The 24,304-nt window shown below is 34.7% G+C and overlaps 1 long non-coding RNA gene across 1 annotated transcript; it reads right to left on the reverse strand.

The window, feature by feature from the left end:
* Nucleotides 1-2,495: 2,495 nt before the first annotated feature.
* Nucleotides 2,496-17,204, reverse strand: LOC105369874 (uncharacterized). The gene is made up of 2 exons (XR_945150.3): nucleotides 17,032-17,204; nucleotides 2,496-3,724 (listed from the first exon to the last, which is right to left on the reverse strand). It is a non-coding gene; the product is annotated as an uncharacterized LOC105369874 (long non-coding RNA).
* Nucleotides 17,205-24,304: the final 7,100 nt, after the last annotated feature.

Raw genomic sequence — 24,304 nt, forward strand, 5'->3', positions numbered from 1 at the left:
AAGAAGATAATAGCCTCACTTTGAAGTTATGAAAATTAATGCTATAATTTAAAACTTCTGCTGATTTATTGTCGTAGAAGACTCTAGTAGAGTTCCCATTTGCTACTACAGATAGGCACCATCACCACAGCATAGACTGAAAGGTTTATCCAAAATGGTATACTGAGTTGAATAGTTTCCCTCTGAAATTCATATCCTTCTCAGACCTTCAGAATATGACCTTATTTGGAAATAGGGTTGTTGCAGACATAATTTGCTAAGATGAGGTCTTACATCAGATTAGGATAAAAAGGTAATACTGGAGTGGTGGGGGCCCCGTATCCAATGTGATCAGTGTACTTAAAAGGGAAAGAGACACAAAGACAGACACACGCATATACACCCACATGAAGATGGACGCAGAGATCACAGTGATCATCTACAGGTCAAAGAACGCTGAAGTGGCATGGAAGGATCCTTCCCTAGAGACATCAAAGTGAGCTGGTCTTGCCAACACCTTGATTGTGAATTTCTAGCCTCTAGAACTTTGAGAGAAGAAATTCCATTGTTTTAAGCCACTCAGTTTGTGGTGCTCTGTTATGGCATCCCTAGGACGCTAATACGCACAGGTCGTGGTGGAGTCTAGATCCTCTCTGCATAATATTGTAGTGATGTTGCAATTGTTGCCTGGAGTGTCTAAGTGTGTTTTCTTCCAAAAATGGACCTTGACTGTTTAGTCTCTGAAAACAGAAAATAAAATTATTTTCTTTGAGAGAAAGGGTATAGTTTCCTTAAACATGGTAGATACTTGACAGAGCTTATTTGAAGATAAAGCTGAGTAGAATTGACTTGATAAGGAGAGGGAAGAAAGGTTATAGAAATAGGCACAAGGCAACTCCCCTCAGAAGAGTTTAATATTTTGAACGACTTCCCTTTAGACTGAGGTAATCACAGTGTCAAGTCTATAATTTCTCCTTTTTCATGTCTGTGTGGTACTTTTGTGGTAGTAGAAGAAACTGTGTCCTGTCCTACATTAAGCCCTCAGAAGTATAAGCACCATTATTGATGGATATCCTAGTATAGGCTTTCATATTGTGACCAGCAAAAGAAATGAAATCCCTAAGAGTAGATGTGAATCATGTTTTGCACATATTAGCAGTGGACAACACTTTAAAACGGAAGGGAAAAGCTGATATTTTAGTTTAATATGAATAATTTTTAAACATTTATAAAATATATTTAATACCTACTAGATGGCAGAAATTGATATAGGACAGGGAAATAAAGGGTGAACAAATAGATAGGATCCATTTTGTTAGCAACTTAAATTACAGTAATCTTGAATAACTCATACAACTTTGCCAAAATGGATATTTTCAGAATGTCTTAAGAGTAATCTTTAGGGAAGGTACAGAAAGAGATTATCAAAATAACCATTTCAAATGTCAACCAGAACTTTTTTGATTAGCACAAGGCAAAACATTGTTTAGATGCTGGAGACAGAAAATAAATTTCATTAAGAATTTATTTATTGATTTGTACAAGGACGAATATACATATACAGCTAAATGCATTTCAATGGCATGGGCCATGATAAAAGCATATACTGTTTGGGCACAGAGGCAGGAGTGGTTGATTGTACAGAATGGGCTGATACTTCATGAAATGTTTCATAGAAGGGGTGAAACTTGAACTGAAAATATGAACAAAGAGAAAAGGAAGCAGAGAAAATAGGTTGGTGAAGGACAGAAGAGTGAAATAGCATAGCACATTCATATTTTCTTACTTTGGCATCTATATCACCACCATCTCACCTTTGTTCTGACAACTAATTCTCTGTACTACAACCAGAGCACATTTTTCCAAACAGAAATTTGGTTATATGGATGGCTTTCCCTTAGGCTTAGGATAAAGCCTCAATTCCTTAAAATGCTTACACAGCCCTGTGAAATTATTTGAAGTATATAGTTTATGCTATTTCTATTCCTGTATTGTTCTCTTTAAGTACTCTGGACCCTCGAATAAAGTCTGGTAAAACTCTACAGCCTTTGTATGTATAAATGCTAATACATGAAATATAGCTATTATAGTCACATAAAGCAAAAATTTAAAGTAAATTTTTCTTAAAATACCTAAATAATGGAACAGAAAATTTCACATTTTTGAGCATTAATTATCAAAATATGAGTCAGTTCTTCATTTCATTCTGGATACTTTTATACACAGCATTGGTTTAATTTTATAAAAAACTGAGTTGTCAAATTTTTTACTTGGTTGGTTTGCATTCCCCAGGCTAGACTGGCCACTATCTGTCTGTTCCACTATTATTGTCCTTGGAAACAGGGCCTGAATTTTTTTTCTTGGCCTGATACTATTCATTCTATAGACTTGGCCTTTTTAAAAAAATTTCAAGAGGGTTGATGTAATTATTACATACTTCTTGATGGGTTTTATTAGACAAACACAAGGTTTATTTCCTTAAGGCTATTTTCTGGTATTTCTTCTAAAATCTGGTATGATTTTAGAAGATCAATAACCTTTCTGTGTATTTTTGCATACATTTTGATATTTTTCTTGCTGTTTAGGTTTAGTTCATGCTTGGAAACTTTTGACCTCTGACTCTGTTACCACTGTCGACAGAATTTTTCAAATCTCTCATCTACTTGGGCAGACAATTCAAGATAAAGAAAACATATACAAGCTGTAAGAAAAATAAATTCACAATGAGTGTTTTTGCCACAGTTGCTAAAAAGTCTGAGAAGCAATATTTATTTGAAGAAAAATATGTCACATAAAAATATGTGTTCATGTGAGACTTTTATGTGGGTTGATGTGATTAAACTCCATTCAAAATTGGTAAGGATCTCAGTTTATATCTTAAATTCAGTGTTTAAGTATGTGTGTAGTTTAGAAAATATTAGTTGGGGATAACACATTCTAAATATATCTATAAAGAAGTGTATGTTTTTATTGTTTTCTACAGGGAAAGTTTAAATTTCAGGTATGTAGGCACAATCCCCTTTGAAATAATTAAGAACTTCATCTATACATGTTAGGATAGAATATCTCATTAAGTTTGCATTATTTATGAGCCAAGGATTGAAATGATTTTGAATGATTTTTCTGCAAACCAAACAATTTTTACATCTTCCTTTGGTGTGACACAAATTTATTTTATCCTCCCCGGGTTACTCGATTTTTGTTTTAAGATGTGTTAAATACCTTTTTGGTAGAAAGGGACTAAGACTTTCTGTTTTGGCTTTAAAATTCATTACTGACTATTTTTCAGTAATTTATGTCAGGAGCCTAGCATTGCTAGGTGGGGGTTTTATAATTCTGAAAGGAAAACATAATTTGATTTTGCTTTCTTATATATCTTCTATTTGTATTACGTTGTAACTTTAAAAAATATTTAGCTGTCTTATATTGATATGTTTTCAAATGTGTGTAAGGAATATTGTTTATCTGAATACATAAAGAGAAAAGTTATAAAATTTTACATGGAATTTAGAATTCAAGTCATCTGTGTTAGCTTTCTATGCTTTGTAACAAATTATCGCAAACTTGGTGGCTTAAAACATTTATTATCCTCAGTTTCTGTGGGTCAGAAGTCCAGGCATGACTTAGCTGGTTCTCATCTGGAGGCTCTACGTAGAAAGAATCTGCTTCCAAGCTTTCTCTGGTTGTTGGTAAAACTCATTTCCTTGTGATTATAGGATTTATGTCAGCTTGCTTTTTCAAAATCCTTGGAAGGGGAGGGGAGACAGAGAAAAAGATTACCCTAGAGTGAGTAGATTGCATTATATACAAGTTACATAACAACATGGAAGTTACATTCTATTACCTTTCCTATATAATGTAAAATAATTACAAGATTGACATCCCATCATATTTGCCATATCCTATTGGTTAGAAGCAAGTCATAGGTTCCACCTACCCTTAAGGGAAGGAAATTTTACAAGGGAATGAATACCAGGAGGTGGAATCACAGGGGCTACCTTAAAGTCTATTCACTGTGCTATATCAATTATGTAGACTATATTAAGAAAAACAAAAATACTTTGGCTTGATGCATTTTTTCTTCATTTCCTATTGATTCATTTCCTGTTTCCTTCCTATTGAAGGAAATGAAGAAAAAATGCATCTCTTTCTATTGAAGAAATGAAAAAGAATCAAGAAAAAATGTCCTATGAAGACATACTTTTCTTCATTTTCTATTTCAATTTGCATCATAGAGTAACAATTGTATAATATACACCATCGATTTATAAGCAGAGAAAGAAATTTGAAATGATTTTAGATCATGTTCCATCTTCTATTAAAGATTGATATCACTTTGAGGCTATGAAGAAAAGGTACTTCCATACTTTGCTGCCTCTATTTTTTTAACATAGATTTTTATTAATGTAAATGCAGTACATGTTAATGGTAAAGTATTCAAATAATATAGATGGGTATTAAGTAAAAAATATGTCATTAAATGAGAAATAATGAAAGTAATCATTATTAATTATTTAGTCAATTTTCTATACATATACAAGTCTACATATATGTCTGGACATTATATGTGTATGAACATATTTTATTCTTTAAATGACACTATAATAAACTTTCGTTTCTACAACTTTATTATAGCCTGGATGTCTGTCTATAGTACTGTAGCTCTACCTCATTCTTTCTAATGGCTGTTTTTCCTTTTAACTATGTGTCATAATTGTTATTAAAATTCTCTACAGAGATGACATTTTCCATTTGTATTCTAAAATACCATTTAAAATGTCATAAAGTCCAATCAAAACCAGCTTAAATAGAAAAGAAAATTTATTTATTTGCCATCACAGCCCCCCAAAAAATCAGTTTAACTAACTTTGAGTATGTTTGGCTCATGGCCTCAATTAATGTCATCTGTAACCGGTTTCTCTCCATCTTTCGTCTTGACTCATCTTTGGACCCAATTCTCTCATTAGGCTGATTCTCCTTTCAAGATGGCCAAATGACTGCCAGAATGGCTGCCAGTAGCTCCAGACTTAGTCTAGTCCCAGGGAACCAGCAGAAAAATAGGCTCCTCTCTTCTGTTTCTTTAAGCAAAAGTGATAACCTTAATTCCACTTGGGTCTGATTGGGTTCATAAACCTTTCTTTTAATCAATTGCTCAAGTTAGGGGAGGTGATATTCTGAGTTTTCAAGTTTGGGTCATGTCTTAGTCCATTCTGGAAGCTATTATAAAATGTGTGGTTTATTTTGGTTTTAAACAACAGAAATTTATTTCTCACAGTTCTAGAGGCTGGGAAGTCCAAGATCAAGGTGCTGGCAGACTTGGTTTCTAGTGAGGGCTGCTTTCTGGTTAATGGATGGTAGCTTCTAGCTGTGTCCTTACTTGGCAGCAAGGACAAGGGAGCTCACTGGGTCCTTTGTAAGGGCACTAATCCCATTCATGAGGACTTCACCCTTATAATCTGATCCCCTCCGAAAGCCCCCACCTTTGAATACTGTCACCTTAGGGGTTAGGATTTCAACATACAGAATTTGGGGTTTCCATATATTTTGGGATATAAACGTTCAGATAGCAAGTCACATGCAATGCTTGAAGCATGGGAATCAGCCCCACTAAAAGAACATGAACCTAGGAGTGGAAGATGGGTAAATGGATATTGGATAGGTGCACACACACAAAAGCATACTATTTTATCATGATATATCCTTATAAACTTGTGTACTTTATGTGATACTTAAGTTATTAGAATATAAATGCTAGATTAACATATATATAGGTAGTCTAAATTTTCCTGTATATTTTCATATTTTCTATATTGATGTACAATGGGTACCTCAGTTTTCTGCTGAGATTGTACACTTGATGTCCATTCCAGATCTCATTTACTAATCATTTCCAATTAAGTAGGTAAAAAAATAGAATCCCATTGTTTCATTAGACATTCCTGTAATGACTGTAAACATGTTTACTTTTCTTATTCTATTTATATTTTTCACGGGTATTTTTATTCCTTTATTGTGAACTCCCTGCTTATGATTTTCTAATTGTACCAAAGCAAACAACATAATGAAGTGTTAAATACATGAAATATTTCTTTAACTTGCAGATACCTTTTTCATGCATGAGTGAGACTTATGACGTCGTAGCCATATGAGGCAGAGAGACTATGAAGAAAGATGCAAATTATGTCTAATGCCACTTTTAAAAAAATAAAACATGACATCTAGCTCCTACTAGTATATTGCTTTATCAAATAAGTAAAACTAAACATTAGAGTAGAGTGATATGGTGTTACATTCTGAGCAGACCTGATGAGTCACTGAGAGGCTTTACTGAGAGGTTTTTTAGGGCTTGGTATGGGGTGACTGCAGCCAATGTTTTCAGGCTGCCCAGAGGAAGAAGGGTCATCCAGTAGACATAAAGCTAAGGGGTTAGTCCTTTTGAAGAACAGGAACCCTAAGACTTACTTTGGGAGAGGAGATGGTCAAAAGTCCAACTTCAAAGTAAATATAGAAGAAAACAAAGAGTAAAAAGCTCTGTGATCTAAAGCCTAAAACATTGTTTTGCAGACTGCAAGTATGCAGAGGTCGAGAGAGAATGTTGCAATATCAACAGCAACAACAGTAACATAAAACTTTTGTCTGATGAGTTTTGCAGGCACACTATAATATTGCTGACTCTGAAAGATCAGATGTGGTCTGAAAGCCTACAATGAAAGCCCTAATGCTATGGAAAAGTGTCAGAAGGCCAATATTAAGAGATGAATTTTTTTGAAGTTGGAAGTAGAAAATAAAAAATGACATACAAATGAATTTAGAAATTTGTGGCTTAAATATTTTATTTTTACTAAGAGTGAATTGAGAATTAAAAATGCATTGTTACATAATAAATTCCTTACAAATGCATCTATATTTATCAGTGAATGGTTAAAACCCATGGTTAAGGTAACGAATTACATTTTTTGTCCACAGTCAAAGGGAAAAATCCAGTTAGATGTGTCTTTAAGTAGGAGCTCTTAAATCCATTCAAACATGATTTGTTTCATAATTATTTATTGTATATCTACCATGTTCTGGCCATTGTGTTTGTCAATGTTTTCAATGACATTTAAAAAAATCACACAAATATATCCTGTTTAATAATGTTCTTAGTCATCTAGGAGACAAACTGTAAACAAAAACAAAAGCAAATTTATAAATGAGTAATAATAAATTGAGAAGTCTTATGAAGAAAATTATAACACTTATTGAACATTGACAAAATGGTGACAGAGTCAGTTCTATGTGTTTACTCATTTTAATTTTTAATCTTAATAATTTATGAGGTAGGTGTTATTGTTACTGGCACTTTCAGAATGAGGAACCAGAAAGCACAAATAGGTCAAATGAGTTTTCCAGTATCATACAGTAGGAGGAGCCAAAACTAAAGCTGGGATGTGAGCCTGGGTAGGGTCTGTGCTCTTAAGTCTTATGCTTTATTGAACAGACAACCATGGTAGAGAGAGAACAGCCAGTATGGACATGGTTAGAGAAGGTTTTACTGAGGAGGTGTTTCAGTTGACAGTGGAAGGGTGTGATAGAGCTAGCCATGTTCAGAACCTAGAGACCAGAATTACAGGTAGAGGGAAAATATGTATTACATCTCTAAGTTGGTAGGAAACCTGGCAACTTCTAGGAGATAAAATGATACTAATAGTAATTAAGAGCATATAGAACGTTTAGATGCAGCCAAGAGTCAGTCACACTTTTAAATAACTTGTAGGTTAACATTAGGGGATTTGATTTGAAGTGCAATGGGGAGATATAAGGCATTTTACAAAGGGGCCTGAACTGATCTGATTCATGTTTAATTGGCTGCGGTATAACACCACATTGAAGACCACAGTAAAATACAGGCGGATAACAGCAAGAAGACTATTTTAGTAGACTTGGAAAGGGTTTTAACAAAGGTGGTTAGAGAGAAGATAAAAGTAAACATATTCAAGATATATTTTTGAGGCAGAAATCATAGGATATGCTCACAGATTGAATGTGGGTGGTGAGGAAAAGTCTAGGATTACTTCTAGTGTTCTACTATTATTACCTATGTGGTATCACTTTAAGCAATTTGCGTCTATGGTGGTACCACATAAGTGTAGAAAAGACTAGGATAGAACAGTTTGCAGAAAGCTGGGAGAACAGTTTGCGGAATTCAGTTTGGAATTTATCTCATTTAATATGCCTGTGGACATTCAGTTAAATATATAGGAAATTGGATGTGAAGGACTGGAATCCAAGGAGAAATACAAGCAGGAGATAGTTTTGGAGCTGTCAGCATAGAGATAATTAAAGCTATTAAAGGTAATTAAAGTATAATATCCAGGTAAACTGTTCAATTTTAAACAGAGAGAAACTCAGCAATGGGAGATGATAGAGGAGGAATAACCAGTAAAGGTGAAACAGAAAAAATTGAAAATGTATCATGCAAGAGACTATAAGAAGTAAGGATTGGTCATTAGTGTCAAAGGGCTTTGAGACATTACATAAACTGAGAACACAATAATCTATTAATAGGTATATTCTTATAATCCAAGCAGCAGCTATTTTATGTTGACCCTATGAGGCCATTAATTACGAAGCAGTAGGCAGAAAACTGGGAAATGCCTCTGAGGTCACATTCTTTTATTTGTTCAATAGCCAGTTGGTTATTATCTGGTATTTCATTTCTTTCCATTTATCTCAAAAATATGAACAAACAAAACCTATGAACCATTTGTGTTTAATGTAAGCGAAGCCTGTCAAAATATCTATCATTGAATAATCAGCCTAAGAAGAAAGAGCAAATATTTAGAACCCTTTGGAGAAATGGCCAAGGAATCGGCTTAGATACTTAGGATTCACATTCAAGAATGATACTGATGGAATCAAACAAAAAGGGGCCAGTACTTTCTGAGCTAATTGTTTAGAACTAGATTTTCGCTCCAGCTGCAATAAATTGGAAGATGGATGATGTGAGCATTTGTAATTTGTAATTTAAAACTTCGCGAACCATGAAACTTTCTGGAGACTTTGGTCAGTCAGTTGATTTACTAGAAATGATGAGACCACCAAAATTCATAAACTGTCTATTTTCCCACCACATGGCAATGAAATAGAGGAGAAAAACATGCAAATTGCTCATTTATGGTTTTTTAATTTTGCTTTCCTAAATTGCTTCTAAGCTCACTGAGTCGAATTTCTATAACATCTTTAATTATGATGAAGTCTTGGCTTAAAAAAAGAAAAGTTGTTTAGTTAGAACTTCATAATTGGCAATGAAACATTTAACCAAAGTGCCAGCTTTCAAATTTGTTAAATTTTGTTTTTTTATTTGAACTATGAGAACAGCATCATGGTGATCTGCAGAATTTGATATTGGGAACTTAAAATGTTAGGATGGAGATTTGTAAAATAATTCCAAACAAAACCAACCCCATTATGAATTACCTTTAAAATTGCAAAACAGATAAGATTCTGAACGTGTTTGGATAATACAACAAATTATAAAATATGAAAAAAAGTGGATGATACAGGTTTTTCTCTTTTGTGATTTGTGAAGCAAGAATCAGCCACTAAATTAGGAACTGGAAAGTCCTTAAAGTATCTATGGGAATTCTTTTGCATAACTGAATTGACTAGCATATGCAGCCCTAAAGCAGTATTTTAAGAACTGATTTTTTTTGATCATAGAATTCTCAAAAATAACGATGTTAGCAATCCATACAATATTCTCACAACTAACATTTGATATAACTGATTTTTATTTAAATAAATATCACACATTTAAAAAGAAGAACTTAATTTCTGAAAAGAAATCATTCAGGTGAGAAGTTTTAATGTTTCAATTGGGACTGTAGTAAAATTAAAGAGATAATTGCTTCAATTTTTTTTTCACTTTACCCTCAAAAGATTTACCAAAATTTAGTTTCAAATGCTCCAGGTAAAAAAATTACACGTTAATCTTTTCTTGTCAATCATTTAAGATTAAAAGTGCTATAAATTCTTTATAATTCTGCTTCCTATTTAAGCAGAATGCTTTTCTTCAATCTGAGATCCCATTATGCTGTTTTCTAAAATATTAATTCTACTTCTGAGGAGAATCACATTAATGTCCTAATGATTAGGTTTTTGCTTCAAAAGATTAAGGCACAATTCAAGGTTCAAAGTAACTTGGGACATTTTTCCATTGCCCTCTCTGTCCTTTCTCCTTGCTTGCCTCTCTTTCATTCTCCTCCTTTCTTTTGTTTTTAAACAGTTAACACAATCCATTACAAACATCAGAAGTGGTTTATGAGGAAAGCGTTTCTAATTACATATTGATTAATAAATGCAGATTAGTTTTCTCTAAAAAGAAATGAAGTCTTAAGACACATAGTAATTGCCTTTGGGGACTGACAGGATTGGCGTGTTTGCTCTTGTTTAAAAAAAAACAAAGGAGTTTTCTTTCTCTAAGAAATACTCTTTCGGTCCTTGCATTTCTTAAGCACGTTTCTTCTGCAAGTGCTCTCATAGGTTGCTGACATAGGAGGCTCATCACAGAAGGTGTTATCTTGGATCTTGTATTGACTAAAGTATAAAATTCTAGGCATATCATCTTATGTTAGCTATAAAAGCTTTGTAGTTCAAAGCCTGAGAAGTGGCTAGGAAATAATTTGATTGTAAAGGTAATCTCAAAGTAAATAGTAGTATTTCTTCAAGCTTATCCCTAATAAGGGTTTATAATCTTAGTTTCTTAAATTCAGGTTTTATTTTTTGGAAAATTGTGCATGTTCAACACTTATTCTAAGAATCAGTGCTTATTTTCTTCCACCTTTTCTCTGTCATATAAAGGTTTACTTTGATTCTGAGTTTGTAGGTGAGTGATACATCTTCAAAGATATGTTTAACTCCTTCATTTCATACTGAATCTTTACAGTAATTTTTGATATGTACTTATGCTATCTGAAGAGTATGTTGGTTTTTACCTGAACCCGTTTAATAATCTTTTAATAAATTCGGCCTCTTACATAATATAAAACTGTCTTGTCATTTAGTTGGATTTTAGAATTATAAAGATTAAAGGATAACAGATCTTGTGTATACACGGTATATACAACATACTGTATTATGACTTATAACAAAGATACCATAATTTCATTTTATAGTAAATTTATTGCTCTTTATGCCATTTTATGTTATTCTCTTATGGAGAAAAAACAGAAAATGACTCCTAGTTGTTTGCAATTCAAAATCAATAATTAAGAATTATTTCAAGCATGTCTGATCTTAAAGTCATGACTGTTGAGCATTGCAGATTATTTTATCCTGGATATAAAAGGCTTCTGGAAAATTATGGATTTTTATGGTTTTAAATTAATGTTTCTTTCAATCTTAAATGATTGATGCCAAAGTATAATTTCATAACAAAAATAATTATAAAGGAAGTAAACATTTATTCTCAGAGGTTCATTAATTTGCATAAATATATACCTATATTTTGGTAAAATGCAATCATACATTAAATACTCTATTAATGCTGACCCTCTTAATAGATTCTGATGTGACTATTTTAATTTTTTTATAATACATATGTATAAAATTATATCTTTCTAAAATAGGCATTACTTTTAACTAACTTGGATAAAAGCCAAAATGAATGAAAAACTGTCCTACACATATAATAGTACAGATACTAAAACAAACTTCTTATTCATTTCATTAATCAAATGAAAGAAATCTTAGCCAATGAAAATAAAAACATCCCAAACACAGAAAAGATACAAGAATTTAAAGAAATTACTACATGGAAATCTATTGGAATGAATTTTGTAGCCTGAAAGAGGTTTGACGGTTTCTCCTCAAAGTACAAAATACCAAGTTTGCCCAAGAAGACATAGAAGACTTCAGTAAATAATTTAACCTAGGTAATAATGGAAGGATAATTCAAGATCAACCATTAACAAATGATTAGGTTAACTGCTGAGTTTTATCTAATATTAAAAGTCAGAGAAATTCATACATGTATGAACACACCTATGTTTATTTTGAATGTTCATGGTGTACATATGGTTATTCCAACAAGAGAAAAATATAGAAGGATTCATGCCGGTAGAGTCCTTGGAGAAGATTATGTGACAGGAGAAGAAACTATAAATAATACACAAAAGTCAAGGTAATTTTGGAGGGTGATTTTTAAAAAGTGCAAAGGGGAAAGGCAGTGTGACATTTAAAAGTAATGTGGGTTATACTGGCATGTGTTTAAGATCATAAGTTTCTATGGGACATATGAACAAATAAAAAATGAAAGAAGGAAGGCAAGAAGGGGAAAAGAAACAAGAAAATGAAAACATGACTACATCAATACTTATTTTTCTGGAATGAGGCCCACATAAGGTTTTCTCTTTAATAGTGGCAGAAGATGATAAATAAAAGATCTTTTTTTTTTTTTTTTTTTTTTTTTTTGGTCAAGTGATCTCTAGATGTAAAAAGTCTGAGATTCACTTATACATACTCGAACTATTCACCTTTCTTTTGGAGTGGGGGACCCTCACCTATACAAAAATGTAGTGGAGGTAGTCTGAGTCCTCTCCCTTTTTGAACATTCCAGGATTTTCATTCCTGTGTCATGCTTTGTCATGGAGTGGGCAGAAGGGAGGAGAACATATGATTGGCACAAGTCGCTGTTACTCTTATCCTTGTAGCTCTTGTTATACAGCTCTTTATCTTGTCATGGTTTTAATTGTTTTAACATTTTGATCTCTACACATCTTCACTGATAATCATGGACAATATGAGAAACTACAACTAAAACATGTCTTAAATCAGCCATCAATATTTCAAAAATTTTAGCATACCTTTAAAATGCTCATATTATAAGTAATAACTTTTGAAAGACAAAGCCACTTGTAAGTAAAGATAATGAAATTTATTCCTGCAAGAAAAAGATAATGCCAACATTTGGAAATGTCTGGGAAAGAAAAAGCTCTAAATGGCCTAAAAATAGTGAATTACATGAAAATCTTATACATTTTGATTTAAACATGCAAAAAAATACTCATTTTACAAACTACATTGAAGGAATAAGCATAAGAAAACTGAATTAAGAAAGGATCTTACAATTTGTAAAAATTGAATACCATTAAAAGATTTATATGACCTAAGTGGTGTTTGATTCTGTCTCCTAGAACAGTGTTATAACATAATTTAGACACAACTTTCCCAAGCATTATATATATATAAAATTTTTTTTCTTCACAACTGATCATTCAATTAAGAAGTTTAGTCTAATAGACACCTGATTATAGTCGGTTTTGGCCAACCTACTAAATCTTTTCTCAATAGTAGTAGTACTTTCATTTCTCCATTTATGTTTAGTTTAATAAAATTTTATATCTTAATAATATAGTTTTATATCTTAATACTAACTAATCCTTGGAGGACATTATGCTAAATGAAATAAGCCAGGCATTGAAAGACAGATACTGCACGATCTCACTTACATGTGGAATCTAAAAAAGTCAAAGAAGCAGAGTTGAATGGTGGTTACCAGAGGGGTGGGGGTCAGTGGTGGAGATTGGGAAGATGTTGCTCAAGAGATTAAAAAACTTCAGTTAGACAGGAGGAATAAATTAAGAGATCTATTGTACAACATGGTGAATATAGTTAATAAGCTTGATTTAGTCATTCCACGATGTGTACATATTTCAAAACATGCTATATACCATAAACCTATACAATTCTTGTGAATTAAATAGTAATTATTATAAAATAGTTAATTCTTTATGAATGCTTATGTGTAAGGCATGGTTCTAAGAAGTTGATCTATATTAACTTATTTAATTTTTACATTAACTGTATGAGTTATTGCACATTTTACAGATAAGGAAACTGAAGCACAGAGAAAGTAGCTTAGTAAAGCACAGAACTGGAATTAATATCCAGCCACAAACTGCACCTTCTTAGTCATATACTGTTTCACATTGAAGTAATGCCAAAATTCCACAAATTATTTAAAGACTTATACTACTTGATTAGCAGAAAGAATCATCATTTACTAGCTTAGGATATTTATTATATAACTCATCAGAGTCTGAATAATGCATTTTTCAATGTATTTAAGGTATTAGAATACATAACGTTAAAAAACAGGTGTCCAAACAGTAATATGACTCAAATGCACAAAACAATCAAAACTGCTCATAGACCATACTCTAGGACTTTGTTCCAAAGACAACAATTTCCCCAAGTTTTCAAGCCACTAATTAAATTTAGATATTTATTCACTAAAAATTGAATTTAGCCTTTTTAACAAGGTCATTTAAGTAGGGTTGCTGAATACAATAAAAATCTTACACATTTCAACTAGATTTTTATTCCTCATAAGGCTTTAAATATCCCTCAGTCTGTCTACTCTCAGCAACAGACATTTCACAGATGAGTTCCAGTATATCACAGGAAACCGTGAATTATTGTCATTTTGGATTCATAGAGCACATTTTCTCAGAGAAAGTGTGAGTGAGTGACGCATATGACATAATGCAGCAAGTCAGTGCCAGACGGGAAAAAAAGAAATGTATTTTGAAAAAGTGTTAGTTTATAAGGCAGGGAGAAAAATATTAATCCAACAGCAGAATTCCTGTTAAGGACTGATGTTATTAAAAAAAATACTTTGAAGTACTCTTTAGGAACGCAAAGGAAAAGGCTTCTGTGACATGGCAGCTATGGGGGTCATTGAAACAAAGGTTTCTAAGATGCACTGTATTTTGCATGCGTAGAATTTAGAGTTTCCTGTGGCAATCCTGTGAGAGGGGCTAAGGTGATACTGAGAAAATAAAGGAGTCAGACTGCAGTGTTGAAGGCTGAAAGGGCAGCATGAGTATTCCCTTCCCTAAGGTTGGAATGACCAAGGTCATTTGGAGCAGGGATGACCATTAAGTTTGAAGTACTAGTGCAATTACTTTTGCACCAACCTAATATTAATAACTTCAGTATAACCCCTATTTCTTCCCTGCAAAAAACCAGTCTATTACAGTGAGATGCAACTGTTGGGGGAAGAAAGGCTGGGAGTGCAACTAAAGAAAATTAAGGAAATAGGCTCTTCATTAGGAAATAAAGGAGTCAGAGGATAGATATAAGTGAGACTAAAATTTAGCAAAAGCAGTAAATTAGGGCAAATTTACTTGAAGAAAAGTGCTAATGATTCTCAGGAAGGATTTGAGGTTTTTCTGTTACAGATGGGAGTTGGGTAACTTTTTATGAAAGAGTGTGTGTTCTATTTATACTTGAAGGGAAAGAGTGATTTTAAAAGACTGGTGGACTTGGGAACACCTGGGTGGAATTATTCATTTATAACTTTCTCTTTTAAGTACAATTTTATATTTGATAAAAAATATTGTAACAAAACAGACCAACTGGGTGAAGTTCAGTTTGAACTAGATGTTTTTAAGCTTTAGAGCGTTAAAATCAGATTATTATTTTTAATTAACTATATGGACAATTAGAATTTAAAAGTGTTAGGCAAGTGATCTGGTCTTGATCTCCCTCTCTGAACTCACATAGTATCTTTCTCAGTTTTGGTTACTTTTTTTCCCAAGCTGGTTCTCATCCCCAGGGCCTTTTCTTTGACTGTGCCATCTACCTGGAAGGCTCCAACCCTACGTCCTTGAGAAACCTGCCCTGATAACACAATCTAAACTAGAACTACCTCCTGCCCACTCAGACATCTGGGTGCTCTCCATCACATGACTTTGTTTGATCAACATCTGAAATTACCTTAATCCTTCATGTGTTAACTCATTGCTTATCTCCCACTATTACTATGTAGGCTCATTCACAGCACGTGCTGATTATCATTGTTATCTCTAGCACCTGAAGTTGTAAAGCAGCTGTAAAGACGTAAAGTAAATATTTGTGAAATGAATAAGTAAATCAGTGGATATATATTAAGAGAAGAATTATAATTTTAAAAACATTTATTTTACTATAGTTTGGATATTTGATCTTCTAAACCACATATTGAAAGCTCTTTTTTTTTTTTTTTTCCTTTCTTTCTTTTTGAGACAGGGTCTTGCTTTGTTCCCCAGGCTGGAGTGCAGTGGAGCACAATCATGGCTTACTGCAACCTCCCAGGCTCGAGTGATCCTCCTACTTCAGCCGCCTCAGTGGCTGGGACTACAGGTGTGTTCCACCTCGCCTGGCTAGTTTTAAAATCTTTTTGTAGAGTCAATTTCTCACTATGTTGCTCAGGCTGGTCTCAAACTCGTGGGCTCAAGTGATCTTCCCCCTTTGGCCTACCAAAGTGCTGAGCCACTCCAAAGGCCCTCATGTTGAAATATGATTCCCAATGTTGGAGGTAGGGGCTTATGCAAAGTGTTTGGATCCTGGCGGTAGTTTTCTCATGAATGTTTTGGTGCCGTCCTCACCTCAGTGAGTGAGTTCTCTATTAGTTCTTATAAGAATCCCCCTGAGAGCCGGTTGTTAAAAACAACCTGGCACCTTCCCCCTGTCTTACTTCTTTTCTCACCATATGATCTGTACATGACTGATTCTCTTTGCCTTCCACCATGAGTAGAAGATTCCTGAGACCCTCATCAGAAGCAGATGTTGTTGCCATGTTTCTTTTACAGCCTGGAGAACTATAAGCAAAATAAATCTCTTTTCTCCATAAACTACCCAGCCTCAGGTATTCCTTTATAGCAACACATACAAAGACATGTATGACACATAATTTAAAGATAAACTCAAATTATATGCTTACATAATCTAAATATCATTACAGTCAGGTTGTTAGCATTACTTCTAAAGTACTCAAAGCTATTCAAAAGTCAATGGCAGTTAAGTTATATATGTTTGTCATAATCTTTAAAGAAGTCCAGAGTAGTAACATTTAATGTCAGCCTATGTCTGTGGTAGGCAGAATCACCCCGCTCACTCCCCACCCCACAAAATGTCCACACTCTCATCACTGAAACCCATGTATATATGTTACATTTTAGATCAAAGAGACTTTGAAGATGTAATTAAGATTATGGATCTTAAAATAGGAAAATTATCCTGACTTACCTGGGTGATCCCAACCTAATCACGTAAGTCTTAAAGGCAGATCATTTTCTCAGGCTGGAGTCACATGTGGTAGAAGAAAAGGCAGGAAAGATGTTATAGAAGGGGAAGTCCAAGAGATTCTGAGCACGAGAAACAGTTGATGCACCTATGCTGGTTTTGAGACATAGGGGGCCAACCGAAGGACCAGAGAGTTGCCTTTAATAGCTAAGACAGCCCATAGCTGACAGCTAGCAAGGAAACAGACCTTCTCCTATAAGCACGAGGAACTGACTTCTGCCAAGCACATATTCTAACAATCAGCCACTAGAAAAGAACAAAGCCCTGTCAACATCTTGATTTGGTTCTTGCGAGACCTGGATCAGGGGAACCAACTATGCTACACTGTGCCTAGACTTAAAACTGATGAAAACTGGGAGGAAATAAATAGATGTTGTTTAAGCTGCTAAATTTGTGATAACTTGTAATGGCAGTAGAAAACTAATGTGTAATAACAATCGTAAGAAAAGTAACATGAAATTGTCAGTGTGTTACAAACTTTGCTAAGGACTTTGAGTATCTTGTTTAACTTTTATGATAACCCGTGAAGTAGTGTACTGGACTCATCTTAAGAAATCTGTTCAACCCTAACCACTTATCTCTGAAAACTACCCTTCTGCACTTATAGATAGGAGTGAGTCTTTGGCAACGATGTTAGTATTTTTTATCTTATTGCTCAAAATAGACCAATGGTGAACACTTGACCTAAGGCTGACCAAATAGGCTCTATCCCCTTGAGTTTGGAGTTGCAATTGAGAGATGTAAGTTTCTTGAACACTGGAGTATATAAAGTCAGAAACTGTGGAGTGGTATTTACATGGAAAAGGAATCGAATAATGTAAATTGACAGCAAAAAAGGGTTGCTGGAGATTATGCGGCCAGAGATGAGAGACAGAGATTTAAAAAGGGGCTTCCAAGATTCCAAGATTATGCCATTGCACTCCAGCCTGGGCAACAAGAGCAAAACTCCATCTCAAAATAAATAAATAAATAAATAAATAAAAAGGTGGAGGGGGCTTCTTGGATTTTAATGGCATTCTCGTTTCTGCTTCCATTGACTCCTGAGGCCCAGCTACATTCGTGGACCACCCTATTAATATGGAAAATTCCTTTATTTAACTTAAACTAGCTAGTGTGGAATTTTGCTTCTCCCAAGCAAGAGAAAGTTAATTAATAGATAGTATTACTATCCTTTTATTGAGAGAGATGCTGTATTCATTAGGGCCTGCTAAACTGATGTAACAAATAGGTCCCCTAAAGTTCAGTGACAATACATTCAAGAGATGTCTGAAGTTAGCAGGAGGCTCTTCTCTCCAGTGATTCAGGAAATCAGGCTTCTTTCAATTTGTTTCTCTACCCTCCACTAGAGTCTGTCTTGGCATCTGAATTTAGCCTGTATTAAAAAAGGAAAATGGAGAAATGTTGGCTTTTAAAAGCTTTAGCCTCAAAGTACCATCCGTTGCTTTTCTGTTCATGTTCTATTGGAAAGCATTGGTCAGATGGCCGCAATTAACTGCAAGAAAGATGGAGAGAGATAGTCTAGTCAGGACCTTGCAAAAGTGAAAGTAATGGTAATGATTAGCTAGCCACCTCTGTTAACAGATGTTCACTAACTTGTTCAGTATAAGACAGCTAATACTGGCAGAGGTGGGGATCGAAACACAGATCTCTGACTCAGGAAGTTAAAATCTTAACCATTTTTTTCTACTATATTTTTATTTTACCAGATGGCTTCCATCTGTGTAATTAGTTGACTTAAAATTCCACTAAACCTGTTAAATAGCCAGCTTAATCTTCTATCCTTGTTAATTTACTTTTAACTTAGATAATATCGGAAGAGAAACTCAGTACTCAAAGTATATTCAAAGGGGCTCAGTGACAAATTACACAAGAGCAGCTGAGACCTCATTAGGCTACTAACTGCAAAGCTCAGATGTATGACCACCTGCTAGGTTATTTAATAAAAAGTAGTAGCCAAAAATGTGTACCTTTATATCATCATTTACATGAGTACTTCTGATTGCTCAATAACATGAATTCATTTGTTTTTGCTATATTAACATAAAACAATTAAGTGGTAGTGAATAATTAACTTAATTTGCAGTTAATTGACCTAAAATACAAATCGACTCTGAATATATTCTGGCATTCTTGATGTTTGTCCTGTTACTTTTTCTGGGTTCTTTGGTGATGTATTGGTGGGATGGCCAAGCCAGAGTCTGCCACTAAACCTACAGGAATGGGGTGTGGGTTGAGCATATAGTTATAGTAGGGGTGGAGGTGGAGATAGCCTGCCTGAAAAAGAAGCTTACTTACACAGACATTCTGTTAGAGTCAGTTGGGGTGGGATCCCACAATCTACAAGTCATCTAAATTTATCGTTGAGGCAAAATAGTTGGCTTAGAGGTTCCAAGATAAAGAAATGGACCAGGAAGAAAAGAATTATGGGTAATCCAGATTGGTATACTGGAGCTGGTTCTATCTGCTAGTGTGAAGCCGACAGTGTATATCACTTTCAACTCTGCATTCAGTAATAATACATTGGTAGCTCGAAGCTGGCCATGGTACAAATATTTACTTTATCAAATTGTTATATACAGTTGGCCCTCTGTATCCACGGTTCCACATCTAAGGATTCAACAAACTGAGAATCACAAATATTTGGGAAAAAATACCAAATAATACAATAAAAAATGCAAATAAAAAACAATACAGCATAATGACTACTTACTGTGTTAATTGTAAACTAGAGATTTAAAGTATATTGGGAGGATGTGCATAAGTTGTGTGCAAACATTATACCATTTTACATAAGGCACTGAGCATCTATGGAATTTAGGATTGATGGGGAGGTTTTGGAACCAATCTTCCACAGATATCGAGGAACGACTGCCCTACAAATCATGGTGCTCTCTGTCCTCCCCTAACCAGAAAGCTAATTGTATAACATTTACCTGCATATCACTGGTAGTGTCTGTTATACAGGTAGACTAGTAGTAACCATCTGAAAAGGTTGTTCCTAGGTTGTATTCTTACTGCCACTGGCTAGCATTCAGAGATATATTTGCTGATTTTAGAGTAAAGGCCTCACAAAAACAGGTAAGTCTCAGTTGGTGCTTATTAGCATAAGAACTGGCAATCCTTCTGGTAATAGACATTTTTATGTAACAACTGGGAAAGGATGACTTGTGAACCCTATAGTCAGAATGTGTAGGTGGTAGAATAGTGGGTAATATTTATGAGTGGACTCTACAGAGGTCTCACAGTTTATGCTATTATCAGAAGGTAAAGATGATTTAATAATAAATTCCACTTTATGTTTTACTTAGGAAGGATGGGGAGAAAGGAAGTCCACCTGCAGAGAAGATGAGAAAACACAGAACAGGGTTATATATGTGTGATTTTAGATCTTCCCCTCTGTTGTCTCAGTGGCACCTTATGGATCTATTTTTTCCCCGTCATTTATCAGCTTGCAACAGCAGATACAGTTCACTATTCAGAAGCAGAAACTAAAAATCCAATAAAGAAATGATAGAAATATAAGTCAGATTTGGATGCAAATTGGCTCTCATTGAATAAACCTAAAGCTAGGGGATGCAACTCATAGAGGAGAAAAATGACTGGGGGAGCTTCAGTTCTCCAAACATATGTGGGAGGCAAGGGGGAGGTCATAGTGAATACCACTGGCCATCTTATCATCTGAAGGTCTGGGCACCACTTGTTCTCTGATTAGACTGTGGGATGTGGCTGATTTGTATGGCTATATGGTGACATGAAATAGCCTTGTCCTGATTACAGAGCCAGCTGGAGGAAAAACAAATCCTCTATGTGTTGAATCAGCATTATCCCCATTGGTTTTTGGGACCCTTCCATGATACGTAGATATAGCCTTGCCATGAATCAGATAAAATCTGTCAATCCTGTCTCTTTCTGTTTACATTTTTATCTTTTTTGTAAATGATTTACCCATCTACTTACCTTTCAAGGTAGTAAATCCCAAGTTAAACCTGAATTACTTCACAGGCATGATAGCACTCCTATGCTAAAGTGAAGTATATCTCTCTTGCCCCTCTAGCATCATTCAGGATAAACCCTAGAGTAAGAGAATAATAATACAGAGAGATGAAGATGAATTTATAGGTTTTTGGTGGCATAAATAATGACCATCTGTGAATAGGATTTATCAGACCTGGAAAACTTCAATAAGATCATATTGGACATGGGTACTCAGGATGGCTGTACCAGGAGGAGTGGTTTCCCTTCAACTATCTGCTTTATGTGCTAGCCTGTTGATAGGAAGCAAGTTTGTTGAGAACTAGTCTGGAGCCCCAAAAAAGTTATCAGTTTTCCTTTTGATGCAACCTTTAAAAAAGAATTGTTTTCTTCTTTGAAGGAGGGCCTGATGGTAGATAACTTGAGGAGTTGGAGAATATTTCCAGTCAGACTGATGGATGCACCTCAACATCAGGATACATACTTTGAGAAGTTACTTCCTATTTTACTAGAAGAAATTGTGATCAAAAGCTGGGATTGTTTTCAGAAAAACCTTATCCTGGCTTTAGGTCAGAGGCCTTTGAACCATGACTCAGGTATCTGATTGAGTTGTTACTCAACAAAGAAATATCAGAGACAGAAAGCACTATATTTGAGCACTCCAGGCCAGACCTAAGCATATTAAAACAAACAAGTCAGTGACTGTGGAAGAATGTGTAAGTGTCCTCAGGTAGGCTTTTTGCTGAGTAAAAAGCTGGAGGGTAGTTCTAGCTAATTTTAAAAATTATTTCCCAGAATGCTAGGAGAAAATGTCTTTACAACCTGAAACATTATGGAATCTGGAAATGAGTTTAATTTTTTTTGGATAAGTTTCAGGCTTAAGCTTTTCCAAGAGAATTGCTCTGTCTAAGTGAAATTAGAGTATTGCTCCTCCTCCCCGCCACAACTTCTTTTATTTTTTAAAGCTGATCAAGGAAGGAGAGAAGGCAGAAATTGAAAGATGTAAGAGAGTAAAATGAAAAAAAAAATGCCTAGAAGCGTTCCTGAAAATGACACTGGCCAAGGCTCAAACTCACTAGTGCCAATGAGAATATATCAAAACAGATACAAATTTCAATGATATTTTTATAAGCCTTCAGATAGCCTAGGAGAGATACTGGAGGAATGCCACCTTGATCAGTTGTCATGGCCCCAGGTGGTGAAGCAGTGTGGTGACAAGGAGGAATCTGTGGTCTCAGATAGCAGGATTAGTTCTTTGAAAAACATAAGAGACACCTCCTGGTTTAGATTTTGCCTTTTCTTTCCTTCCATGCTTACATTTCTCTCATATATATTTTTCCTTCATTCTTTTTTATTTTTGCTTAGGTTCTGGAACTTATCCATATTTAGGTAATGGTATCATTTAATCATTTAATTGGAATTTCCTTAATGGATAATAGCAGCATTCAGTAGGTAGAAACTGCCACACGTATATGCTCAGACTTGGAAAGAGTTCAGAAAGTGCAGACACTGATTGCAGTGAATTCCAATGTTATTTTTAAAGCGCTGGCTAAACACTATCAGCAGCAGGAAGGCACCCAATAACTGGATGCCCTCCCTTTTCACATTCTGTGTAGTAACGCAAGAGAGGCAGAGCAGTACGATGGACTAGTACTTATCTGCTGTTTCTCTCTCTCAAAAGTGGTAACTTGACTAGTCCCTCCATCAAAGCCTAAAAGCTTTGATTTGGGAGTCTCCTCAATACATTCAGAGTAGAAGGAATATCTATGGAAGAAATTCCAAACCAAAAGATGGGTCTTCTTCCATGGAGGACATACAGGATAGGGTTAGTTTTAGGAACTTGCCACCGTGTCATTCCTTGGATTCTTAGTATGCACTAGCCAGTCTGTTGCTGCCTCCTTACCTTTTAGAATCTTCTTACACAGATGGTTCTTGATATATAATTGTTCAACTTATAATTTTTTTGACTTTAGGATGAATTTATCCAGATGATATCCCATCATAAGTTGAGGAGCATCTGAACTTACAATGATTCAACTTAAAATTTTTAAACTTTATCATGGGTTTATCAGTTGTATTTAATTAACTTTTGACTTATATTTTCAACTTATGGTGAGTTTATTCAGATGTAACCCCATCATAAGTTGAGGAGTATCTGATTTTGTTGTATATGTAATGTTGGGAGTTTTTAGAATTGCTTAGGAGTAGGAATGAAAAAAAGGTATGTCTATTTATCTTCCCGGAAGCAGAAACACAGTTTTTTTTCTTTTAAATACATTTACATAATGAAAAAATTACGTATTTTTACCTACATAGTATTTGTGATGATCTTCAATATATTGTTTATGTATAGACATTGTCAATTTCACCCTTTTTGTGTTGGAATTTTCTGTTCTGAAAAGTATTCTTGAGCTTTGTTCTGGAACATAGTTGAGCTAATGGAACACTGTTTGATCCTTTTAGGTATTGCTTCTAAAATTGTTAGATGAAACCCAGAGCAGTGTTTATTCTATGGCTAATTTTCTTTTCTTTTCTTTTTTTTTTTTTGTTGGTTTGTTTTGCTACTGATGTAAGATCTTTCTGAATACTCTACCCAATGCCCTCTGAATTAAAGGTTTTTAATTCTGGCTGAGGGACAAGCACTATTCCTGTCTCCATGTGTGCTTTGAGAATGTTTTATCTAATCCTTCTGGGTAGTTCTTTCCTGAATTGGGGCTATTTCCTCACCCACGAGCTGCTCAGTACTCTGCTAAATATTGCAGGGGAGCTGCCACAGTTCTCTGAGGTTCTTATTCTGTATAACTCCTCACCGGTCCTCTCCCCTGTGAATTCTAGTCATTTTGGTCTCCTCGAATCTTAGCTCCATTTCCTCAGTTCAGGAAGATGGTTGGGCCTTGTAGGGGTTTTCCTTGTCTGTATCATTGCCTAAAATGTCTCCTAAGATGGTAAGAAGGTCCAGTCCTGGGGCTACCTCATTTGTTTCCTGTCTCTCAGAGATCACTGTCTTTGTTGCTTGATATCCAAAGTCTTTAAAAATCTGTTTCTTACATTTTAGTTGTTTTTTTCGTGTGATTTTAGGCAGGAAACCTCTGTAAATATTTAGAAAGATATTTCAGAATTTGGGTTTTGGGGAATTAGATATAGGTGTGAAAATGAGCACTGTCCTTCAGTGCATGATCTTGAACAGTGTACTCAATATTTTCAGCTGAGATTTCAATTGTTAAAGATTAGTATCTTTTATATA

Source organism: Homo sapiens, chromosome 12 (genome assembly GCF_000001405.40).
Source record: "Homo sapiens chromosome 12, GRCh38.p14 Primary Assembly".
Taxonomy (NCBI): domain Eukaryota; kingdom Metazoa; phylum Chordata; class Mammalia; order Primates; family Hominidae; genus Homo; species Homo sapiens.